The following is a 22,689-nucleotide window of genomic DNA, read 5'->3' as shown; positions in this document are numbered from 1 at the left end:
TGCTTAACATATAGTCTGTGAATTTAAAAGAAAAAAAATTTTTGTTTTTATGGAACTCAGATGTCCAGATCAGTCCCTCTGTCTCTTAAGAGCTCCTTGAGTTTGGCCTGAATGTTGTGGAAACCTGTTGATTGCCCCCAAAGCTGTACAGATTCCTTGCGGGGGCAGAGGAAGGGCTCTTTCTCATGGTGGTGTCTAGCTCCACATTCCTGGTTCTCCTAAACTCACTCAGGTTGTGGACTGTATTGCCATCTGCTAGGTGCTATTTTGGTTCTATTCTATAACAACCCAGACATGAAACTTAGCCCATTCCTTTGGTTTACACACACACACACACACACACACACACACACACACACGTGTGTGTGAACACATGTACATGCACGAATACACACACAACCACTTGCACGAGGTATATGGCTGGGATGCAGAGGGAATATGTTTGAGAAAAAGGAGTGGAAATGCACGTCACAGCAACAAAGCTTCATATTTAATATTAGACATCCTGGTTGTATTAGGATTTTCCAGAGAAAGAGAACTAATATGATGTGTGCTTATATAGAGGAAGACCTATTTTAAGGAATTGGCTCACACGCTTATGGGGGCTGGCAAGTCCAAAATATACAGTTCAACTCTGAAGGCTGCCAGGCTGGAAAGCGAGGGAAGAGCTGATGCTGCAGTGCCAGGCCAAAGGCTCTCTGTGGTGGAATTCCCTCTTGCTCAAGGGAGGTCAGTCTTTCATTCAATTCAGGCCTCCAACTGATTGGATAAGGCCCACCCACATTATGGAAGGCAGTGTGCTTTACTCAAAGTCTGCATATTAAAATGTTCATTTTATCCAAAAACACCCTCACAGAAACAGCTAGAGTAATTTAGACCACATATCTGGGCACTGTGTCCCAGCCAAGCTGACATATAAAAGTAACCACCATCTGGTTTTCAAAAGTCCTTTCCTACTGCACTGAGTTGCTCAACGATTCTAGTCTTCCCACTCTGCCCCCAAATACCTGCTTATTTCTAGTGCTGTGAAATTTGGCTATTTATTTTATTCAGTTGAATCATCAGGGTCTCATTTTCCATTTGAAGTGGTTTATGAAGGTGTTTTCCTGAACAAAGATAGTTTCCTCCCTAAGAGTACCGGGGCTAGCTGGTAAGATGATGATTTTTCTCACTCTGTTTCCTCTATAAAAATGCTGTCAATGGAGTGGCAATTCAAAAGTCTTTCAGGATGTCCTGTTTTAAAGAAACTGCATAAACAATCAGCTGCATCTAACAAAATGACAACAATTTATAATATAAAAGGGCAAATGGTAAAGGGTCTATCAAAAAGAAACCTTCCCTTATTCATTTATATTAAAATAAGATGATGTATAAAGTTTGACTTCTCTGCAATTTCTCAGGAGCACACTGATAAGGAAAAGGCAGGCACAACTGCAGGTTGCTTTTTATCAAGCAAGAGTGAATAATTCCAGCCTAGAAAGCTGGAATGCCCTGTTGTACTTTGCTTCTGCCCTGGGTGAGTTCTGCCTCATGCCTACAGCTAAAAATACCTTGCTTCTGGCCAAGCCGGTGGTGGCCAAGAACAGTTAACTACTTAGAAGCTGATTCAGGGCAGAGAAGCTTTTCTCTATGCTTTTGTTTTTATCTTTTATCTTTATTATTAGCATTCGTTTATTCAAATGATAACAGCTAATATTTTTGAGTGCCTGCTGTGTACCAGAGTATTAAGCAGAGTGTATGCTGCATCTCACTTGCTCCTTACAATTCATTTATTAAGCATTCCTGTAAGCTTCATTTTATGGATGAGGAAATTTAGCTACTGCTTCCAAGGTCACACAGCTGTTTAATCCTGAAGCTGGGATTTACATCCAAGAGTATTTGTTGTTGTTTTTGTTTTTTGCTTCGACACAGGATCTCAATCTGTCGCCTAGGTTGGAGTGCAGTGGCATGAACACGGCTCACTGCTGCCTCAACCTCCTGGGCTCAAGCGATCCTCCTGCCTCAGCCTTGCATTGTAGCTGGGCCTATAGGCACATGCCACCATGCCCAGCTAATTTTCAGATTTTTTGTAGAGACAGGGTTTCACTATGTTGCCCAGGCTGGTCTCAAACTCCTGGGCTCACACCATCCTCCCACCTTGGCCTCCCAAAGTGCTAGGATTACAGGTGTGAGCCACTGCACCTGACTTTCCAAGAGGATCTGACTCCAAACTAGCAACTCTCGGCCTCCTAGAGGCCAGGCTTTCTCCTGTCGTGTGCTGGATATTCTGCTGGATGCGTCCCTATAGTAAACCAGTTAGTTTTGTAAAATCTCAGCTAGTTCATCACATTACATATATAGTCACTTAACAGCATTTTACAATAGAATTAAGAACTCTTTTTTTTTCTCTATTCCTTTCTGCAAATCAATTTTTACTATGTAGGAGGGAGGCCCTGGGGAAGCCTCAGCTTCTTAAGGCTGTGGCCCAAAAAGTCTCATGGAGCAAAGTTCCAACTCACTCCTCAGTGGTGCAGCTTGGGGCCAGTGTTAGCATCAACGTGGCATTGTGACATGGCGGGGCCCAGGTGTCCTCCTCAGGCCTGCCACCTGCTCTGACATCTGAGGGGTGTTATCTGTCTTGCTCTGAGTAACTTTTTGAAAAGAGGATTATTGGATACTCTCTGAGAATTTACTCCAGGATCTTAAATCAAAGTCAGGAAAAATAGAAAAACATAAGACAGAACAACAAGAACATCCTGAATTTCATAACAGGCAGGACTGGTATTAATATACATACATACATATATATATATATATATATTTTTTTTTTGAGAGAGGGTCTCGCTCTGTTGCCCAGGCTGGAGTGCAGTGGCAAAATCACTGTTCACTGCACCTTCTGCTTCCTGGGTTCAAGTGATTGTCCCATCTCAGTCTCCTGAGTAGCTGGGACACAGGTGCGTGCCACCATGCCCGTGAGAGCACAAGGCGGTTATTCCCCCTCCCTCGCGTGTACAAGGAGGAAGGAATGTTGTGGTCCAGCTGAGGCCTCATAGCCTCACTCCACCCTGGGGCTGGAGTGTCTGCTGCAACGTCACGGCAGCGGCAGCGTTCTTAGCTTTGCTCACAAGTAGTCAGAGTCAAATTTTTCAAATTTCAAATTTCAAATGGAGAATGATACAGTGAAAAGAAGAGGCTATAGAAAGAAAATGAAGAGAAATCCATATGCTGATTCAAATTTATGAATTTTTTGTAGAGACGGGGTTTTGCTATGTTGCCCAGGCTGGGCTTGAACTCCTGGACTTAAGCAATCCTCCTGCCTCGTCCTCTTAAAGTGCTGGGATTGCAGGCATGAGCCACTTCACCTGGCCTAATATTCTTAATAGCTATGGACAGGAGGAAAATGAAAACTGCCACTTGCTATCTCTCTTGTGTTCCCCACAGTGCCACCCCTGCAGTGATTCAGCTGGAAGGCCAGGGGTCTCCTCCTGAGCTCCTGGGAGCCCAAGAGGAGGTGACTTTTCAATGTGTTGCACAGAAAGTATCTAGGAAGTGTCTGTTTTCAGTCTGAAGCCCAGGATGAAAGTGAATAATCCCATTGAGAGGGGTTAAGAGCAGCTCTCCTCTGCCCTGGTGATGGAGCACTGGCCACTATAGGGGTGGGGACCTTGACACACAGGACCAAGACGTGCAGCAGCAGAAGCAGCACAATGCTATTTCCTACTAAGGAGCACAAGAAGCCAGAGAGCTGCAGACACATCGAAGGGTGAGACAGCCTTGGACTCAGCACAGAAGAGACTTTTACCACGCGTGAGCAAAGCTAAGAACTCTGCCGCTGCCCTGACTTTGCAGCAGACACTCCAGCCCCAGGGTGGAGCGAGACTATGAGGCCTCAGCTGGACCACAACATTCCTTCCTCCTTGTACACGCAAGGGAGGGAGGATAACTGCCTTGTGCTCTCATAATTTATATTGTAAAAATTCTTCTTAATAATCTCTCTTCCTTGTTATCCAAGTAATATACATGGATTGTGAAGCACATAAAGAAGAAAGAAGAAAAGAAGGACAAAAAAGGAAGAAAAGAAAGAGAAGAAGGAAAGAAAAGAAAGGCAAGCAAACAGCATGGGAGAGTTTAGTATTGAGGAAAAGTGGGTGAAGGGCACATAGGACATCTTTGTACCATTTTTGCAACTTCTGTAAATCTATAATTAATTCTGCAGCGTGCAGCTTTGGTTACGCACGTCTGTATAATTTGTTGTAATTAACAAAGCACAGTAAATCGAATGAGAGCTAATTACAGAGCCGGAGCTAGTCATTCTCCTCAAATGTTTGGCATCTGTATAATGTCTCCATGATTCCTCTGTGAATCTATCTATATCTCTGGATTGCACAGACCCCATCCGACGTGAGAGTAAGGATCTATTGCCCTAAATGGGCAAAACCCCAGCGACCGCCCCTGAATCGGATTCTGCCTTAATAGTGCTTATTTCTTTCTGGGTATATGATCCATCTCTGTTTCCCCCAGAAAAATATCCTTTTACTGAAGGCTTCAGAATCTGGCTGCTCAGGTAGGAAACAGTGCTCTATGAAAGTAACGAATATAGCTAATGAAGAATGATACAGTGAAAAGAACAGGCTAAGAGAGTGAAGAGAAATCCGTAGGCTGAACACAAAAGATGAAAAAGGCGACGCAGTGAAGGCCATGTATTATAGGCCTAAAATTAGGGCCCGATATTATATGTTGCTTTCAGATCCGAAACCAGAAGGACCTCGAATGGCCTGACCACAGGTTTCCCTCCCCACTTTGCTCCCCTGGATAAGGTCCCATTGCCAAACGACACTGCACATCACCGAGACCAGGCACAGTGCCGGTTATGCCTAAGCATCACGCTGCAGTTCTCTGCCGGCCCACGGAATGATTCAAACAGGCCAATCCCATCCTTCCATGGGAACCAGGGGGAACCCCACCCTCTTGGTACTCCAAGGCCTGTCTCCCACAGCCCCTGCTTGCTCACTGTGTTCCCGAGTGCAACCCCTGTGTGGCCCTGCTTGGCGTGCAGTGTCTACCCCGGGCTGTGACTATGTGACTCATAAACCGTTGTGGATCTCATCTGCCCAGTGTTGGGCGTTGCGTGTTCAGCCATCCCCAGAACGCTAGGGTGGGACTCTCTCCGTCACCAATGGGGTGAAGAGGAGGTGATCAAAAAGGGTGGAGGGCTGTGTCAGTAGCCGGAGCCTTGCCCGTCTGCGGAGCCGCCTGGCCTGGCCTTGGGCGCAGTGCTTCATCTCTGGTGTCTATCTTTGTGTATTCCAAGTCATAAAATAGAAAGCTGTTAGAGCAGATTGAGTCACTTCTGTTTGCCTTGATTTACTTACATTTCCTCCCTTTGTTGAGAAAATGTCAACAACCCAGAGTTTGCATTTCAGGGGTTGGTGCATTTCAGGGTGGGAAGAGCTGCACCACCAGGGCGGCTGGCAGCTGCAGGGGCGGGCACCTCAAAGGAGTGAGGGAGCAACACGTGGATGTACTGAGACCACAGGAGGAAGGGAGCTTATTATCTCCAAGCAGGCCTATTTTCTTGTTAGTGAGGTTTTTCCACATTAAATGTGTAAAGGGGCATAATCACAAGCATGCTTTTGAGTTCTAGGCATATTTGAGTAATTCAGAACAGGTTTTTCCTATCCAAAGGGACAAATAAAAGGAAAGGCTGGGAAAACAAGCTACTGAGGTTATCTTCCCTTTAGGAACCAAAGGAATGAGAGTAAATAAGTTCATTAAAGAAGAAAGTGTCCTCAACTATGTTTTGGGATCATTATCCCTATCTGTCCTTTCAAAGACCTTTGTTTTTATGATAATGGGACTACTTCATACTACTTTTTTGGGGTCTCTCTTTGATTGTTCACAATAATCCTATGAGGTATAGCAGCAACTTAATATTTATTGAAGACAGGAGGAGGCAATGCAGACATTATTATTCTCAGATAGCAGCTAAGTCAATGGTATAACCAAGGGAAATAGGGTCTCCCATTCTTTGTTACCATCATATTGGAAAGGATACATGTGGTATAAAAATCCTTCTTTGCAAGCTTGCCATGTCTCGTTTAGACAGTGCTGATCCCTGCTGCCCCCAGACACAGTGGAGACAGAGATGCCAAACAGGGGAAAAAGCTGGCTGGGGCTGGGTGCGGGGGCTCACGCCTGTAATCCCGGAACTTTGGGAGGCCAAAGCGGGGAGATCACTTGAGGTCAGGAGTTCAAGACCAGCCTGACCAACATGGTAAATGCCCATCTCTACTAAAAATTAAAAAAAAAGTTAGCTGGGCATAGTGGCACACACCTGTAGTCCCAGCTACTCATCGGGAGGCTGAGGCAGGAGAACTGCTTGAACCCAGGAGGCAGAGGCTTCAGTGAGCCGAGATGGCACACTGCACTCCAGCCTGGGCGACAGAGTAAGACGCTGTCTGAAAAGAAAAAAAAAAAAAAAGAGAAGGCTGATACTCTGGTACTCAGTCAAGGCTTCACTGACTGGTGGTACCTTGGAAAGGGTCACATGGTCCAAGAGATGATCCAGATGTGGAATTCCAGAAACTCTGGTCAGACCAAGGGGAATAACTCCTGCTCACAAAGACTGACCTGTAACCCAGATTTCCAGCTGGTTAGTCCACATTGAGATCCATAACTGCCAGTGGCATGAATGTGTATGTCAACTGTTCAATCTGAAGATACACCTTCTCCCACACTGCCATGTTTTCACATCTCTGACACAGGGATTCCCATCACAACCACTGTCAGTCAAGCAGCAGTTCTGACATAGTTGCCGTTGCCTACACATAGATGGATCTGGTTGTTACTTCTTGGGTGTCATGCTTGAAAAACGGCGCAGCAACCAGTGATGCTTCAGTGAGCAAACTCTGAGGACCCCTTGGGGGAAGGAATGTGAATCATGATTCCTGTCTGAAAACTTATGTGGACATCCATTTGGTAAGATCAAGAAAGCACTGATCTGATCTGAACTGGTGTTGGCAGCTTGAGAAAACTTGGAAAAAATTATTGGAGTGGATTTCTCAGTGAAGCACGCTCTTCCCCTACTCGGCTCACTGAAGCCTCTGCCTCCTGGGTTCAAGCAATTCTCCTGCCTCAGCCTCCCGATGAGTATCTGGGACTACAGGTGTGTGCCACTATGCCCCACTCCGAAATAACATTTAATTTTGGAAAACCTTAAGCTTAAAGAACAATTTAAAAAATAGTTCCATGAATACCTGTATATCCTTTATCTAGATTTTCCTGTTGATATCATTTTGAAGGCATTTCCTTTACTCATCACTCTTTATGTTTCTTTGGGCATTTTGTTTGTATGTTTGTTTGCTGAATCATATGAAAGTAATATGCAAATAGCATGACACCTCACTGCTAAACACTTCAGCACGTATCTTTTAAGAATAAGAACATTCTTCTAGGGTATAGTATTATCACACCCAAGAAATTTAATATCAATATCCTAATATCTAATAAACAGATCAAATTTCAAATTTCTATTGGAATATATATATTTTATATATAACATATATATTATATATAATATATAATTCAGAACAGGTTTTTCATATCCAAAGGGGCAAATAAAAGGAAAGGCTAGGGAAACAAGCTACTGAGGTTATCTTCCCTTTAGAAATCAAAGGAATGAGAGTAAATAAGTTAATTTAAAATATATATATATAGCATATATTTTAAATTCTTTTTTAAAGGTGCTGTATTACAAACATTGTTGAAGGTACACAGGATGATATTGTGCAGGAAAAATACAGACACCAAAGACAGTCTAAAAATGATTCAGAAGAATCAGACATTGAATTTGAAGAAGTTTTAGGAATTATTGCAGCCATTTTATTTCAGTTATATTTTTCTTTTCATTTATGTACAAGCTTGATGTAGAATAAAATCTATGTCAAAATAAGTGTAAAATGATTAAAAGTCAAAGTGAAAGGAAAGCATTATGATGCAGTGTAATTGGCATAAATGTTTCTTCTTTGTGGTACATAAAATAATGGCACGACTTACATATGATAAAATACTCTAGGCAGCTGGGGCTTCAGTGACAAGGAGAAAATATGCCGGGACACGAACTCAGCCGTGCATCCTGGAGTGTAACTGCATGGCTGGCTCCCTCTCCAGCATCTATTTGGCTGGAAACAGCCTGACCGACTCTCACTCTCTTTCTCCCTCTTCAGGATGCCAGGCAGGCATCTGTAGCCTCTGTCTGTTGCAGAAGACCAGAACATGTCACCCTAAGATACGCCACTTTGGCATAAAAGTTATTTTGAGCTGAAGGCAATCGAGAAGAAGCAGATATAAGAAAAGGTCTCTGCTCTACCCCATTAGCCTAAAAGCAAGACATAAATTTACCAAGACTATGATGTCCATCGTTACCTCTCTACCAGAAAGAACAAAGGTTGTTCACTGAAGGCAACTTTAGATCCTTCTCATCCTGGAGATGGCACCGAAGAATCCACATGACAAATTCCCATTTCCTCGCCTTCCCTCAATTTGCTAACCCTAGAGACTCACAGTACTTTTCCTTTGGTTACTTCTCTAACAATTTGCTCTTCTTTGTTAAAAATGCCATATAAAACCAGAGTTCTAAGATACTTTGAGAATTTCTCATTTCCTGGGATCTCCTATGTATATATGAAATATACATGCTAATAAATTTGTTTGTTTTTCTCTTGTTAATCTGTCTTTTGCTACAGGGGTCCATCCGAGCTACAAACTCAGAAAGGTAGAGAAAAAATTATTTTTCTTCCCTTACACTGTGGTCATATTCTATCTTCAGATGGGTTGCAATACAAGTAATTTAAGTTCCTCTTTCTCTCTGGGTGGACAAATCCCCTTAGATATTCCTAAGCCATATCTGAGCCCATCTTTAGGCAGACATTTTCTGAGCTTTCTCAGCTGGCTAATCACAGACATTGCGGGTTTATCTTCCAACCACCATCTGCTCCTGCAGGGCAATCGGATTTCTGCTTTCAAGGATCACCTTCCTTGTCACCTTCTAAGTACTGGCTATAGGTGCATCTTTGCCTACTTGCCCTGGATTCCACTCTGCAAAAGTGAGTATTGTTGAAGTTAACTGGTCTCTCTCAGCTTGTCCCAACAGATAGACTCAGAGAACCCCTAAGCATTTGGTCTCCTGTTCAGGGAAAATTTAGAAATAGATGGCGTTGCCATTGACATCTTTTCACCTCCCACCACCATATGATTTCTCCTTCTCTTCTCCAGAAACTCCAAAAGCATTTCTCATTCTTTTTTTCTTTCTATCTAATACCAAGCTTCCTACCCTTGGAAAAAGTTTTCTGCTTAATTAACCCATGCACAGGGATGAATGATTCCTTTCTCTTTGTGGTTTGGAACATAGACTGTAGAGAAAGGGGAGGGAAGAAAGGTTTTGTTTTCTGTAAATACTCAGAAACCCTATAAACCCTTGCCAGAAAAGTGGGAACATTTTCTTGCTTGATAGATTCAGGGTTCTTTAGAGGGACCTCAAGAGCTGCTTAACCAAATACCTACCATTTGAGTGTGTAAATGCTTGCTTTCATTGAGTAAAGTAACATTAAATAAAGGCATTTAATTAAAAATTTTTAAAATCAATTTGAGTGGGTTGTATAGTTATTGTTTTTGGTTTTCTAGCAAGTTTTCTCCTGTTTCCCTTCTTTTGGAAGTGGACTCCCATGCCTGGTCATAAAGGCATGGATTCATGGCCTGGGTCAGCAAATCAGAGAATCCCATTTCCCTGGAGCTCGACCCAGCTGTGGCCAATAAAAATCCTCCTGTGGGAATCAGTCACGTTTCCAGGATGGTAGGAAAGAGACGCTGTCTTTTCAAGAAGCTTGCTGAATTTGGATGGTGTAGATCTGGGGATGCCAGCAATCACTTTCTTTCTCTCTCTCTCTCTCTCTCTCTCTCTCTGTGTGTGTGTGTGAGAGAGAGAGAGAGAGAGAGAGAGAGAGAGAGCAAGCTAGCAATGTGCAGAATAAAACCAAGAATATATACAGGCAAAGAACTAAAAGTAGATCTACTATTCGGCCCAGCAATTCCACTACTGGGAATCTACCCAGAGGAAAAGAAGTTATTACATGAAAAAGACACATGCACACACATGTTTATAGCAGCACAATTTGCAATTGCAAAGATATGGAACCAACCTAAGTGCCCATCAACCAACAAGTGACGAAAATATGGTACATATATACCATGGAAATACTACTCAGCCATAAAAAGGAATGAAATAATGTCTTTTGCAGCAATTTGGATGGAACTGGAGGCCATTATTCTAAGTGAAGTAACTCAGGAATGGAAAACCAAATATTGCATGTTCTCACTTACAAGTGGGAGCTAAGTTATGAGGACACAAAGGCATAAGAATGATACAATGGACTTTGGGGGCTCAGTGAGGGGAAGGTTGGGAGGGGGGTGAGGAATGAAAGACTATATATTGGGTACAGTGTACACTGCTCAGGTGATGGTTGCACTAAAATCTTAGAAATCTCCACTAAAGAACTCATTCATATAACCAAAAACCACCTGTACCCCAAAAAACTATTGAAATACAATGAAAAATATATCGAGAGAATAAGAGACCGGCAGAGATAAGAAACAGAAAGGGAGAGGTGTGATGGAGCTGGATTCTCTGTCTCCTGAAGTCTTGTTTCTACAGAAGCTCTTCCTTTGATACTGAATAGATTTCAACTCCCTGCCTTTTAAAACCTTATTTGAGTTGGATTTCTGCCACTGGCAACCAAAAGCATCTCAAATAATGCAGCCATTGTACCTGTTCACTGAGTTGTATAATGGCCCCCAAGCAGTATGTCAGGGAAACGTGACTGTACCTTTATTTGATTACACACTGTATTTTCCCTTGTTTCCAAAGGTTTTTGCTCACAAAATGTGTTTCCTTTTGAACAACAGAAAAGATAAAAGGGAACTCTGGTCCAAGACAGTATTTTTGCTGTTTTACTATTACTGTTGTTGGTTTTCTCATCAATATGAATAGTTTGCCACACACACACACACACAAACACACACACATACACACACACACACACACACACCCCTACCTGGGTCTAGATTAAAGATTTCAAGCTCAAGTAATTACAGGAGTGAAGCAGGTCATGCCAAATGATGAGGAGGTGCAGGCATTATGGTAATGTGATAGACGGTAGAGGGACAGAAGTGAGCTGAAAGGAATATGCTGTCTAAAAGGCAGCACCATTCAAATTAAAACAACAATAGCAACCCCATGTGGGTCAAAGCAAACACATCTGTGATCCATCCTGCAGGCTGCCATTTTGCAGCTCCTGGCCCAGAGCGCATCAACTAGCCTAGCTCGCTTAGCCGCGAAGCACTGGGTTGTGAAGAACAGACTTCCATTCAAGCTAGGTCAAGGAAAGGGCCATTACCCATAAGTGTATGACAGGTAATTGCTTGAACACAAGATACAAAGTGCAAGCCACGTGGGAACTGGAGTGGGGCACTGCACAGAGCCAGGGACACCCTATTTCTGATTACAGTCTCCATATTGAACTTCAGAGTCTCAAGAGAGAGTTGACTAGTTTCTGGCCAGTGAGTCAGACATCTGTTCCTTGTCTAAAAGGTATATGTTGGAGACGGAGGCAGGTAGGATGTGGCCACTTAAGCCCATGTCTCAGCAGAGGCTGTGGACAGGGGTAGAGTGGGGCTGGGCTGGGCAGACAGTTACAACTGTCTCACATGGCAGGTTGGCCACTCCTACGTTATCAACACCTAAACTAGTTCAGATTAAGATTTGCTAACTTTGCATATTTTCTTTTAATTTTTTTCTGATCTGATAGAGGATGTGGGACTTTTAATAGGGCATATGTGTGTGTGAATGTGTATTTACAATTCGTCATCAGTGAACATCCTCTGGACTTGCACTGGGTCAGCTCTTATAGGAGCTTTTCTCTGGCTCCTTGGTAATCGTACGTCTCACTCTATAAGGCTCTTCTTATTCCACAGCAACACTCCTGCCTTGTGTTCTGCATAGATGAGTATAAAATGTATAGTTTCTTCCACTTTCAGAATATCCTGAATATCATTATCCAGTTAATCTTTCCAAAGTACCATTGTTATATTACTCTTCTCCTGGGAACATGCCATGGCTCCCTATTGGATTTCTTTCTTTCCTTTTTCTTTTTTTAGACAGGGTCTCATTCTGTCACTCAGGCTGGAGTGCAGTGGTGTCATCACAGCTCACTGCAGCCTCAAACTTTTGGGCTCATGCTATCCTCCCACCTCAGCCTCCAGAATAGCTGGGAACGCAGGTGTGCACCATCACGCTCAGCTAATTTTTAAATTATATGTAGAGATGGAATCTCCCAATGTCCTATAGGTTTTCTGTCCTGAAAAAATGAACTTCTCTGAATCTTGTACCCAATCGTAAAATGCTTCAATACCAGCCCTGTAGGGAAAGTGACAATGTCTAAAAATGCCTGGAGCAGTGCCTGGCAAAAAAGTGTAAAATAAGTGCAACAAAAATAAATATTTGTGCCGCAGATTTGGGTACTGTTTCCTGAGTCTACATCATTTCCACAGAGACCCCAAGCTCCTTAAGAACATTCCTTTGCTTTCTCTGTATCCTCCACAGCTGTCTAGAGCAGCCGACCACCCAGCACGTGCTCAGTGAGGCACATGCAATCAACCTGAAATATGGTAGGCCTGGTCCTGTGGCCCTGTGGCCCTGAAACAGGTTTGAGCTCCAAAGAGTGAATTAGAGGCTGGGTGTGGTGTCTCACACCTGCAATCCCTCAAACCTGTGTGCTTGGCTTTTCTTAGGCTCTGCGGAAGCCAGTGGAGTAGAAGCCCAGTGTTTCCCTGCACCTACAAATAGTCTCCGAGGCTCTTGTAATGGGCTGCAAGTTTCCTAGACCCTGTTCAGGGTGTTTCTGGGATACTTTTCATAGATTTGTTATCCCAGGATGAAGACTTAAGCACCTTATAACTCTCTTCCCCAAGACAGGACTAGGAAACTGCATGGTGGGAGGTTAAATAACAGCCAGTGAACTGCTGACAAGCATGAGTTTGCATCAACAAATCTCAACCTGGCCTGGCTCCCTAGATACCAGTGTGTGTTCGTTACCCTTCTTTGGTTATAAGGAGGAGAAGCATACTCACTGGCCATAAAAGGTCCATTGCCTTCAAGCTAAAAGCTTAACTTCTTAGCACGACATTCAAGACCCTTCTGATCTGGCTTCTGCCTGTTTCATGGGTTTCATCTCCTTCTCTTCTACTCACACTCCTCCCTCACCAATGCAGCGCACACCTAACGCACCTATGCACATGTGCACACTATTTGTGTATAGGCACCCTATGTTCTAACCATGTTCAACTTCTTGGAGTCCCCCAAATTTATCATATCCTTCCATGTTTGGAGGCCTTTCTAGATTATTTTCCCCTCTGTCTTCTGATTCACTCCAATTCACTCTTTTTTTTTTGAAACAGAATCTTGCAGGAGAGCACTGGTGTGATCTTGGCTCACTGCAACCTTCACCTCTCAGGTTCAAGCAATTCTTGTGCCTCAGCGACTCGAGTAGCTGGGATTACAGGCACGCACCACCACACCCAGCTAATTTTTGTATTTTTAGTAGAGACAGGTTTTGCCATATTGGCCAGGCTGATCTGGAACTCCTGACCTCAGGTGATCCACCTGCCTTGACCTCCCGAAGTGCTGGGGATACAGATGTGAGCCACCACGCCCAGTCTCTAATTCATTCTTTGGAACTCGGTGTCGTTGTTTTTTTGTTTGTTTTTGAGAGAGGGTCTTGCTCTGTCACCCAGGCTGGAGGGCAGTGGCATGATCATAGCTCACTGCAACCTCAACATTTTAGGCTCAAGCAATCCTCCCACCTCAGCCTCCCATGTAGCTGGAACTACAGGTGTGCATCACCACACCCAGCTTATTTAAAAAATGTATTCTGTAGGGATAGGGTCTCACTATGTTGCCCAGGGTGGTCTTGAACTCCTGGGCTCAAGTGATCCTCCCACCTAGGCCTCCCAAAGTGCTGGGATTATAGGCATGAGCTACCAAACCCGGCCCCAGTGTCAAGTTTTTAATAAACCTTCCTTGGCCCTCCAGAGCTGACTCGGATGCCTCCTGTCACGTGCCCTTGGCATATGGACCCACCGCCCATAGCACTCACCACACTGCTCTGTCTCTATTGCTGAACTTGTTTATATTCTTTATTGGATGGCAAACTCACTAGGGGCAAGAGCTATATTTTATTCACCATGGTATTGTCACATTTTGTTAGAACTCAAAATTTTTTTGAATGAGTGAATTTTCCCCTAAATATGTTCCTTTTGTAGAAGCAATACAATGAAGTTAAGAACATGAGCTTAGAATTTTGAGTCTCAGTTCTGCCACTGACTAGCTAAGTAACCTTAACCTCTTTGAGACCTGCATAGTTTATTGAGAGAAGGGACAGCTTGAAATCCTGCTCTCTTGGCCCCAGGCTCAGCAGGACCTGTGTCCACATAGGGTCAACCAGCAGAGGACCTAAACTGAGATGCCTGGCTAGGGACACTAGTCACCAAAGAGACAGGGCAAGATTTTCCTCCTTCTTGCAGACCTCTGCGGTTTAAACGAGACTGCTCCATATCTGCTTGTCCTTTAGGGGTTTCGTGAAGTGCTGCCTTGATTCAGTTTATTTTCTCTAATCGGCCTTTAAAAAGAACAAGGGTTAAACTCTATGGTTTGAAAAGTAGCAAAAAGAGAAAGACATAAGAATCCACCTACATGTCTAGACATGCCTGTACTATAGCTCTCACTCCATACTCTATTTTTTTAAAACTTTTATTTTGAAATCATTTTAGACCTTTCCCGCTTAAATCGTCTTCTTGATTTGGAATTGGTTTTTCATCAAAAAGTAAGTGGTGTGAGATAAATAGTGTCCCGGAGACTTTATTTTTTCTACTACTAATAAGGAATTTTCCAAGGACAGTGAGATACAGGGATCATCTACAGAACCCGGACAGGACACAGCAGAATTCACCCATTCCTATCTCCTTGGTTAATATGTCTGTTGCCAGCATGCGTTGAACTGGGGCCCAAGCAAGTGATTTCAGTTGTTGATTCAAAACTCACTGAATTTCAAGTTTAATATTGGTCTGCCTGGTTACTGTGGCCAGAAACCTTAAATAGAAAATAAAGACAAGGTGGATTATTGGTCTCCAATTGCCCCTCAAAAGCAACCTTCGTCTTTGATTGGGTTTTTATGTGGATACTCTCTCCCCATTATGGTGTTCAATACCCCATGCCCTGCACGCCAGAGCTGACTTACTGGCAGGAGGGTGCTCACTAGCCTTGGGGGATAAGCTTTTAATCATCTACAAAGAGCAGTTGGCCTTCTCTAAAAACACTTCAATAAAGCGAGATTCAGCCCTCAGTCGGCTCAGCCCTTGTCAGCCCCAGGCTTCCCTGTGCCAAAATGCATCGAAGCCAGAAATGGAGGTCAAAAAGTTGCTCAGCGTTGGCCATCCTGCTTGCCGGTTTTTTTGTTGTATGCTGATTAAAATATAGGTGAATGTTGGCTAGCTTCTTTCTTGCTCCTATAAATACGGTCATGTCAGTTTTCATTCCTTTCTTCTCTGTCTGGCTTTGCCAAGACGGTTTTGCCAGAGGATGAAGAGGCTGAACTCATCAGTAGAGCTGTCGGCTTACAAGAGGGATTCCCGGTGTCCCAGACGATTAGTGCTGATGATGCACATCAAGAGGATGGTGTTATGAGATCATCCGGGAACTGGCCGGACGGATCAGGACAGTCAGGGCTTTAAACCCTTTCCTCTGGCTTGTCTGAGTGCCTCCAACGGCAGCTGCGCGCTGTGTCCACTAGATGGCGCAGTGACACAGGCCCACACCAGGGGGACGTCTGGGAAAGCAGGGAGCCGAGGATGAACTCACCGAAGCTCTCTCCGCTGCTGGCTCTATTTCTCTAAGTCTCCATATACATGCCGTAAAAATTGTGTGGATTTTGTAAAACGCCGTGGACAATAATTAATGGCAAGAAGCCAAAGAAATGCAAAAATAGCCCTTGATTATGCAGGAGCAATGCCTTTTTTTTTTTTTTTTTTTTTGACGGAGTCTCGCTCTGTCCACAGGCTGGAGTGCAGTGGTGCGATCTCAGCTCACTGCAGCCTCCGCCTCCCAGGTTCAAGCGATTCTCATGACTCATCCTCCCGTGTAGCTGGGCTTACAGGCGCCTGCCACCACGCCAGGCTAATTTTTTTTTTTTGTATTTTCGTTAGAGACGGGGTTTTGCCCAGTTGCCCAGGATGGTCTCGAATTCCTGACCTCAGGTGATCCACCCGCCTCGGCATCCCAAAGTGCTGGGATTACAGGCGGGAGCCACCGCGCCCGGCCAGCAATGCCACTTAAAGTGGATCTAATCATCTCTGATACTTAGAAAATGTATCCTAGTATTTGGCGGAAAATAACATGGCTTAAACAGCATTTACGTTTTGCCTGGTGCTGTCTTCCCATGCCTTATCTGCATTAACTCATTTAACCCTTATAATAACCTCTGAGGGAGGTGCTATTAATATACTAATTTACAGATAGTAAGATCCAGGTATAGAGAAGTTAAGTTACTTGCCCAAAGTCACAGGGCTAGTTAGTGCTACAGGTGAGACTCAAACCAAGGGAGTTTGACTCCAAAGTCCAAGCTCTTAATGACTGTACTAAAATAGAAGTCTGGGAGCTCTGCATGGGTGAAAAAGAAGCCTTTCAGCTTTCTTATTACTAAGGAAAGAGCTTCGCTTCTAGACTTCTTCATCCCTAACATCCCCCCGCTTTAATATTACAGCATCGGGACGTCACTGAGATATGTCAGTGTTAACCAGAATCCTCATGTTCTAATTATACAGCAAATGTCATCATCCCTACAGAAATAATGTCAGAGGAATATCATATTTTTGTCCATCTGTTTAAAAGAACATTTACAAAAATCTGCCTGGTGGATTCTCATTCTGATTTTTATTTACAGATAGGAAAATAAATGTGCTAAGTCATTTGTCCACTTAAGGATACACAGGCTGTGGCTAGATAACTTACTCCAATATTCATTCTTCCAGCTTCCATTTCTTTTTTGTGTATTTTATTTTATTTTTATTTTTTGAGGCAGAGTCTCATTCTGTCGCCCAGGCTGGGGTTCAGTGATGTGATCTCAGCTCACTGCAACCTCTGCCTCCTGGGTTCAAGCGATTCTGCTGCCTCAGCCTCCCGAGTAGCTGGGATTACAGGCATGTGCCACCATGTCCGGCTAATTTTTTGTGTTTTTAATAGAGATGGGCTTTACCCACGTTGGCCAGGCTGGTCTCGAATTCCTGGCCTCAAGTGGTCCACCTGCCTTGGCCTTCCAAAGTGTTGGGATTATAGGCGTGAGCCACTGCATCCGGCCATATCTTCCATTTCTTTAATGAAGTCTACAGGACATACACAATGTGAGTGGCCCAGGACATGCACAATGTGAGTGGCCCAGGACGTACACAATGTGAGTGGCCCTGAGGATGAAGACAGCAAGGGCAGATTTGCCACTTTACACCATGCACAGTTTGATAGAGGAGGCAAACACCTCAACACGTCATCAAAAGCCGTGCTGTTGGGGCTGTCCCAGTACTTTAAACAGTTCAGAGAGGGGCTGCCTCACTCTGCTAGGGATCAGCCTCCACAACAGATGGGGTCCTTGAGTTGAATCATGAAGGATGAGCTGGGACCCCCACGGGTAAACACAGGGGGAAAGAACAGGGTGTGAAAATGGTTGGAGTTTGGAATGGCTGTTGTGCTTTGGCTGGAAGACCTGCAGAAGATGAATCTCAAAAATTCCCAAAGACCAGGCACAAATGTCTCCATGTTTTGAGCTTTCTTCTGTAGCTGACAGAGAGCCACAGCAGGCTTCCTGAGAAGAGATTAAGTCATTAGGTTTGTGTTTAAGAAGAGGACTCTGGTCTGAAGGATGGACTATGGGTTGGGGGGCCATGGCTAGAATGGACACAGGGTCCAGTTAGGAGGTTTTGTGATCATCCAGATGAACTAAGACAATTAGGGTAGGGGATGCTGAGTGGGATGGAGAAGAAGAGTGTTAGGAAAATTTCAAAGATACTATAAATAGAGCCTTTATATTCATACATATATATATATATATAGTATACACATACATAATAATTCATGCAAATATGTATATGTACATACAATACTATTTTAGAGCCAGTTTTATCCCACAAAGGGTTTGGGATAGCAGCACAAGACTCGATAACCACCAGATAAACATAGGGACCAAGGGAGAAGAAAGCATCCAATAGGACGCCCCGTCTTTGGCTCTTTGGCTTGGACGACTGGGTGGAAGGTGCTCCCTTAATCAATAAAGGTCATGATGGAAAAGATGCAGTGTTCAAAGGGATGGCCAAAGTTGTTTGTGTGTGTGTGGTCTTTTTTTTTTTTTTTTTTTTTGTGATAGGGTCTCACGCTGTCACCCAGTCTGAAGTGCAGTGGTGCAATCATGGCTCACTGCAGCCTTGAACTCCTGGGCTCAAGCAATCCTCCCACCTCAGCCTGCTGAGTAGCTAGGTAGGACAACAGGCATGTACCAAGATGCCCAGGTAATTTTATTCTTTGTAGAGGCAAGGTTTCACCATGTTCCCAGGCTGGTTTTGAACTCCTGGGCTCAAGTGATCCTCGTGCCTCAGCCTCCCAAAGTGCTGGGATTACATGTGTGAGCCACTGTGCTCGGCCCAACGTTGCATTTCAAATGGGAAGTCTGAAGTGTTGTGAACAATCAAGCAGCTATCAGGAGAAAAGCCAAGGTTGGAAGTGTAGAATTTGGAATTGTCAGAATATTAGTGTAGACAGAGACTGTGAGGGTGGACGTCATTATGGACTCTGATGAAAATGTGAACCATTGAGTTGTTTCCAAATATTTGGCTGTTTGGTATCTCATAGATCTGACTGCATTTTCCCCCTTTTCATCAGAAGTTAATATCATATAGAAAACTTCAGTGAGTAACAGTAGAACTGAGCAAAAGATCCAGTGTTTCCAGGATTCTTTTGTTCTGTTTTTTCTTGTGCCCAAAGTCCCATGCACCTTTTATACTCAATGTTCTTCCCAAGGTAAATCAAAGACTGGTGTGGAGGGAAAAGCCTTGAGATTTCAACCAGATTGTTGGCAGATTCTACATAAAACTCTACCTCCAGTGCCCAAGTAACGCTCTGGCTTTTTGCAGAACTGGAGAGAACATGTTTTGCTGGCAGGTGAAGAAAGGGAGGGCCTCAAGCTTGCATTTATTTTAAAACTGTGTAAATGTTTAAAATATGATATGTAAACTTGCCGTCAGACCACTTTTCACTTTAAGCACCCTTGACAGTTAACCATTAGGTTTCTCGGGGGTGGAGGAAGCTCTCTGGGTGTTCTTTGGGAGAAGACAGCAAAAAGGCTGCTTTCTAGGTGGTACAAGTTTTGCCATCTGCTTTTGGCTTTGGCAAAACAAAGGAATTGAAGGCACTGTGCCAGCACGTGGGTGAAATTGAATAGAAGAGGCCTTGTTCCTCCAAGGTCAGAGCTTTTACTGTGGTGACAAATAACTCCCAAATCTGTTTCCCAAGAGCAAATCCTCATGTCTCCATCACAACACTCAAGAGCAGCAGATGGACTACAGCTCTGTTCCAGGCTGTGGGCCAATTCTGGGTCTCCTTTTCACATCTTCTCGAATCTTCTTGTTCTGGAACAAAGGCTGCAGGAGCAGCATGCAGCCATGGCAGAGAGCAGCAGTGCAAGAGGCGGAGCCACGGCACATGCATTCACTTCAGGTTGCTGCTCAGGCGAGCCTGCGTCATGGCCCCCCGTATCCTACTGGCCAAAGCAAGTCTCACAGACAACCCCATAGTTGTTGGAGGCAGGGATGTGATATGAGGAAGGAGGAAGGCGATGCTTGAGCATAGCTGTTCTGTCTGCCACCATTAGTCATTCATTCGTTCATTCATTCATCAAATATTTCTTGAGTGCTAACTCTGTGCTAGCACTGTATCAGAAATTGATCTATAGAAGTAGACCGATCTGCCTCCTGCCCTTGGGGAGCTTGCAATCTAGTATGGGACACAAATAATAGAACCAGCAATTATAATGAAGGCTGAGCCCAGTTCCAGATTCCAGATCCCTTAAAAGGGTAGTGGAGCAACATAGCACTGAATGACCACCATGAACTTTTAGGGATAAATCACTCCAGAATGTTATCATACCAAGGCCTGTAAACTTCTCTAGAACCTCTTGGTGTGTTTCTATTCACCCGTGGCCTTGGACCTGATGGCTATGTAAGAACACATGTAAAAGATAAGTGTGAATGAATCAACGTTTTTCCACTGATGGGATGGAAGATGGGGAGGGGTGGTGGAAGGCTTCTGTTCTTGAAAAGTCTACTCAGGTCACTAGTGGCCTCCTGGGACTATTTATGGCCTTGTTTGCTGAAATAATGTCAAGTCTAGCATGTTACCTGCCTTGATATCTTTTATCCCACTTGCCATCTGCAAACCCAGACCCACCTGCCTTCCTAGTCTGCTCATGTCCTGAATCAGTAAGGACTTAAACAGATTCAGCTCTGTTTTCGGGGGCTGAGGATCCAGTTACTGTTGGGTACTTGCCTCCTTGACTGGCTGCCCCAGCCTTGAAAACTGGATTCCTGCTGCATCCCTAAGCTTTCTTTATAACTTCTCAAACTCTGCCACACTGTTCTGACCCATCCTTCCCAGGCTTCCACCCAGTGATTCCCTGTATATCTGTTTGATCCCCAGTTCCAGGGTTAATAACTGCCAGCACTCATTCAACATCTTTACAGAGTGGTATCTCTCACAAAGCTCCTCCCTGTGGGTTCCACTTCTCCTGTGGCCCGCTTGATCTCGGGACCAGGAGACAGACAGAGTGTTCTCCTTACATCCCAGTGTGGCCTCCTATACCCTGGTGACACACTTTGCTCCTTTGCAAGGAGAAATTCTTGGTTACATTTGTGTGGATGGCTTCACTGGTCTTCAGGGAAGCCCCTGGCAAAGGGTAGCTGCTGCTCTGCTCCACACTCACTGCTTGGTGCAACCAAACTACTGAGAAGGTATTGAGGAGTGGGTTCATGCATACGATGTGCAGACGGTGGCCAGGGAGGGGATGGCTTTGAAGTAGGGCAGACCAAGGATTTCCTCCGTGACTCGTTCACCTTTTCCATGAGTTCTTACACAGACATCGGGTCCAAGGACATGGGTGAATAGAAACACATCCAGAGTTCTGGAGAAGTTTGTACAGGGCTCACCGAGGCTGAAAGCAAGCCAGCCAAGTGGGGAAGCAACTCAAGTGCCCTGTCTGCAAAGCTTTACTGAGATTTATTTGGAAAGTTATGGTCTCTCCCACAACGAATCTGTAGATTGCCTTGCTCTGATTACAAGAAGAACGTTGAGGTCTTCATTAACAGTCATCATCAGATTCCTTCTCTCCTTAAGGAGATTAATTAGGTAAATTTCATTACAGTAACATCAAGTTTCTTGGAAAGAAACCATTCAACTTGAGAATGACTTTGCGTTTATATCTGGAAACAAAGCAATGTGAGTGTTTACAGTGAAGAACATGAAACGTTAGGTTTTAATAGATGTTGATGTCATTCTTGGCCTCCTGCAAATGATATAAATGACTCTGTGAAGAGGTAACACATTGTTAAATGTAACCAAAATGCGAAGAAAGAAGTGAAATGTACACACATGACGTTCAGCCCTGCCTCCCACTTCCCTCCCCTGACTTCGCCATCTGAGCTGAACCAGAAAACCACTTCCCTCCCCTGCCTTCACCATCTGAGCTGAACCAGAAAACGGCAGCTGACATGCCCCATCTGTCAGATGTCAAAGAGAGAGATGGAGGACTCTCTCTCGTCCTGTTTAGTGGGCTGATGGTCTAGAATTTCCAAAGGGGAGCCCAAATGGCCAAGGAAAGAGAGGCCAGGTTCAGACCTGGCTCTGCCACGACTTGTCTGACCTTGGACCAATCACCCCCTCTCTGGGCCTCAGTTTCCCCACATATGAGCTGAGAAGTCTGAACTCACAGGCTTCCAGCAATCATCATAAAACTGCTGAGAGAATAACTTTCCCACCATTTGGGTAGATTGTACAATATGCAGCCATTTGACAACTACCCTTTCAGCCCCAAGGGAATATAGAAGCTTTTTTTTTTGGTTTTGAGATGGAGTCTCATTCTGTCACCCAGGCTGGAGTGCACTGGTGCGATCTTGGCTCACTACAACCTCGCTTCTCTAGTTCAAGTGATTCTCCTGCCTCGGCCTCTGAGTAGCTGGGATTACAGGCACACACAACCACGCCTGGCTAATTTTTGTATTTTTAGTAGAGATGGGGTTTCACCATGTTGGCCAGGCTGGTCTCAAACTCCTGGCCTCAGGTGATCCACCTACCTCAGCCTCCCAAAGTGCTGGGATTACAGGTGTGAGCCACCGTGCACAGCCAGAATATGGAAGCTTTGAGTCTGAGTCCTTGAACCTGCCCAGGTGGCCAATCTGTGGCTGACCTCAGTGACAGTCCAGGGCTAGGACAGTGTTGAAACTCTGCCGCTCTGCTCCACACTCACTGCTTGGTGCAACCACAGTTGTTGAGGAGGTATTGAGGAGTGGGTT

General features: G+C 44.4%; 1 long non-coding RNA gene across 1 annotated transcript in view, besides 7 other annotated features; it reads left to right on the top strand.

Moving 5' to 3' along the window:
- The window catches only part of LOC107986891 (uncharacterized), a 45,183-nt gene that overhangs the window by 14,981 nt on the left and 7,513 nt on the right, over positions 1–22,689 (top strand). The gene's annotated exons all lie outside the window — the stretch shown is intronic.
- Positions 4,643–5,143: an enhancer, noted in NCBI's record as "H3K4me1 hESC enhancer chr8:74097471-74097971 (GRCh37/hg19 assembly coordinates)". NCBI's record gives its function as "activates a minimal SCP1, AML or CMV promoter by ChIP-STARR-seq in primed H9 embryonic stem cells {active_cell/tissue: H9 hESC(primed)}" and the evidence as "EXISTENCE:reporter gene assay evidence [ECO:0000049][PMID:30033119]".
- Positions 5,144–5,644: an enhancer, noted in NCBI's record as "H3K4me1 hESC enhancer chr8:74096970-74097470 (GRCh37/hg19 assembly coordinates)". NCBI's record gives its function as "activates a minimal SCP1, AML or CMV promoter by ChIP-STARR-seq in primed H9 embryonic stem cells {active_cell/tissue: H9 hESC(primed)}" and the evidence as "EXISTENCE:reporter gene assay evidence [ECO:0000049][PMID:30033119]".
- Positions 5,211–5,505: a silencer, noted in NCBI's record as "tiled region #3216; K562 Repressive non-DNase unmatched - State 21:Repr". NCBI's record gives its function as "represses a minimal TATA promoter and a strong SV40 promoter by Sharpr-MPRA in K562 cells {active_cell/tissue: K562}" and the evidence as "EXISTENCE:reporter gene assay evidence [ECO:0000049][PMID:27701403]".
- Positions 15,751–16,045: an enhancer, noted in NCBI's record as "tiled region #10056; HepG2 Activating DNase matched - State 4:PromP, and K562 Activating DNase unmatched - State 12:CtcfO". NCBI's record gives its function as "activates a minimal TATA promoter and a strong SV40 promoter by Sharpr-MPRA in HepG2 and K562 cells {active_cell/tissue: HepG2 | K562}" and the evidence as "EXISTENCE:reporter gene assay evidence [ECO:0000049][PMID:27701403]".
- Positions 15,751–16,297: a biological region, named in NCBI's record as "Sharpr-MPRA regulatory region 10056".
- Positions 15,798–16,297: an enhancer, noted in NCBI's record as "H3K4me1 hESC enhancer chr8:74086317-74086816 (GRCh37/hg19 assembly coordinates)". NCBI's record gives its function as "activates a minimal SCP1, AML or CMV promoter by ChIP-STARR-seq in primed H9 embryonic stem cells {active_cell/tissue: H9 hESC(primed)}" and the evidence as "EXISTENCE:reporter gene assay evidence [ECO:0000049][PMID:30033119]".
- Positions 16,298–16,799: an enhancer, noted in NCBI's record as "H3K4me1 hESC enhancer chr8:74085815-74086316 (GRCh37/hg19 assembly coordinates)". NCBI's record gives its function as "activates a minimal SCP1, AML or CMV promoter by ChIP-STARR-seq in primed H9 embryonic stem cells {active_cell/tissue: H9 hESC(primed)}" and the evidence as "EXISTENCE:reporter gene assay evidence [ECO:0000049][PMID:30033119]".

This window comes from Homo sapiens, chromosome 8 (assembly GCF_000001405.40).
Source record: "Homo sapiens chromosome 8, GRCh38.p14 Primary Assembly".
NCBI lineage: Eukaryota > Metazoa > Chordata > Mammalia > Primates > Hominidae > Homo > Homo sapiens.
This window is presented reverse-complemented; position numbering and strand designations above follow the sequence as displayed.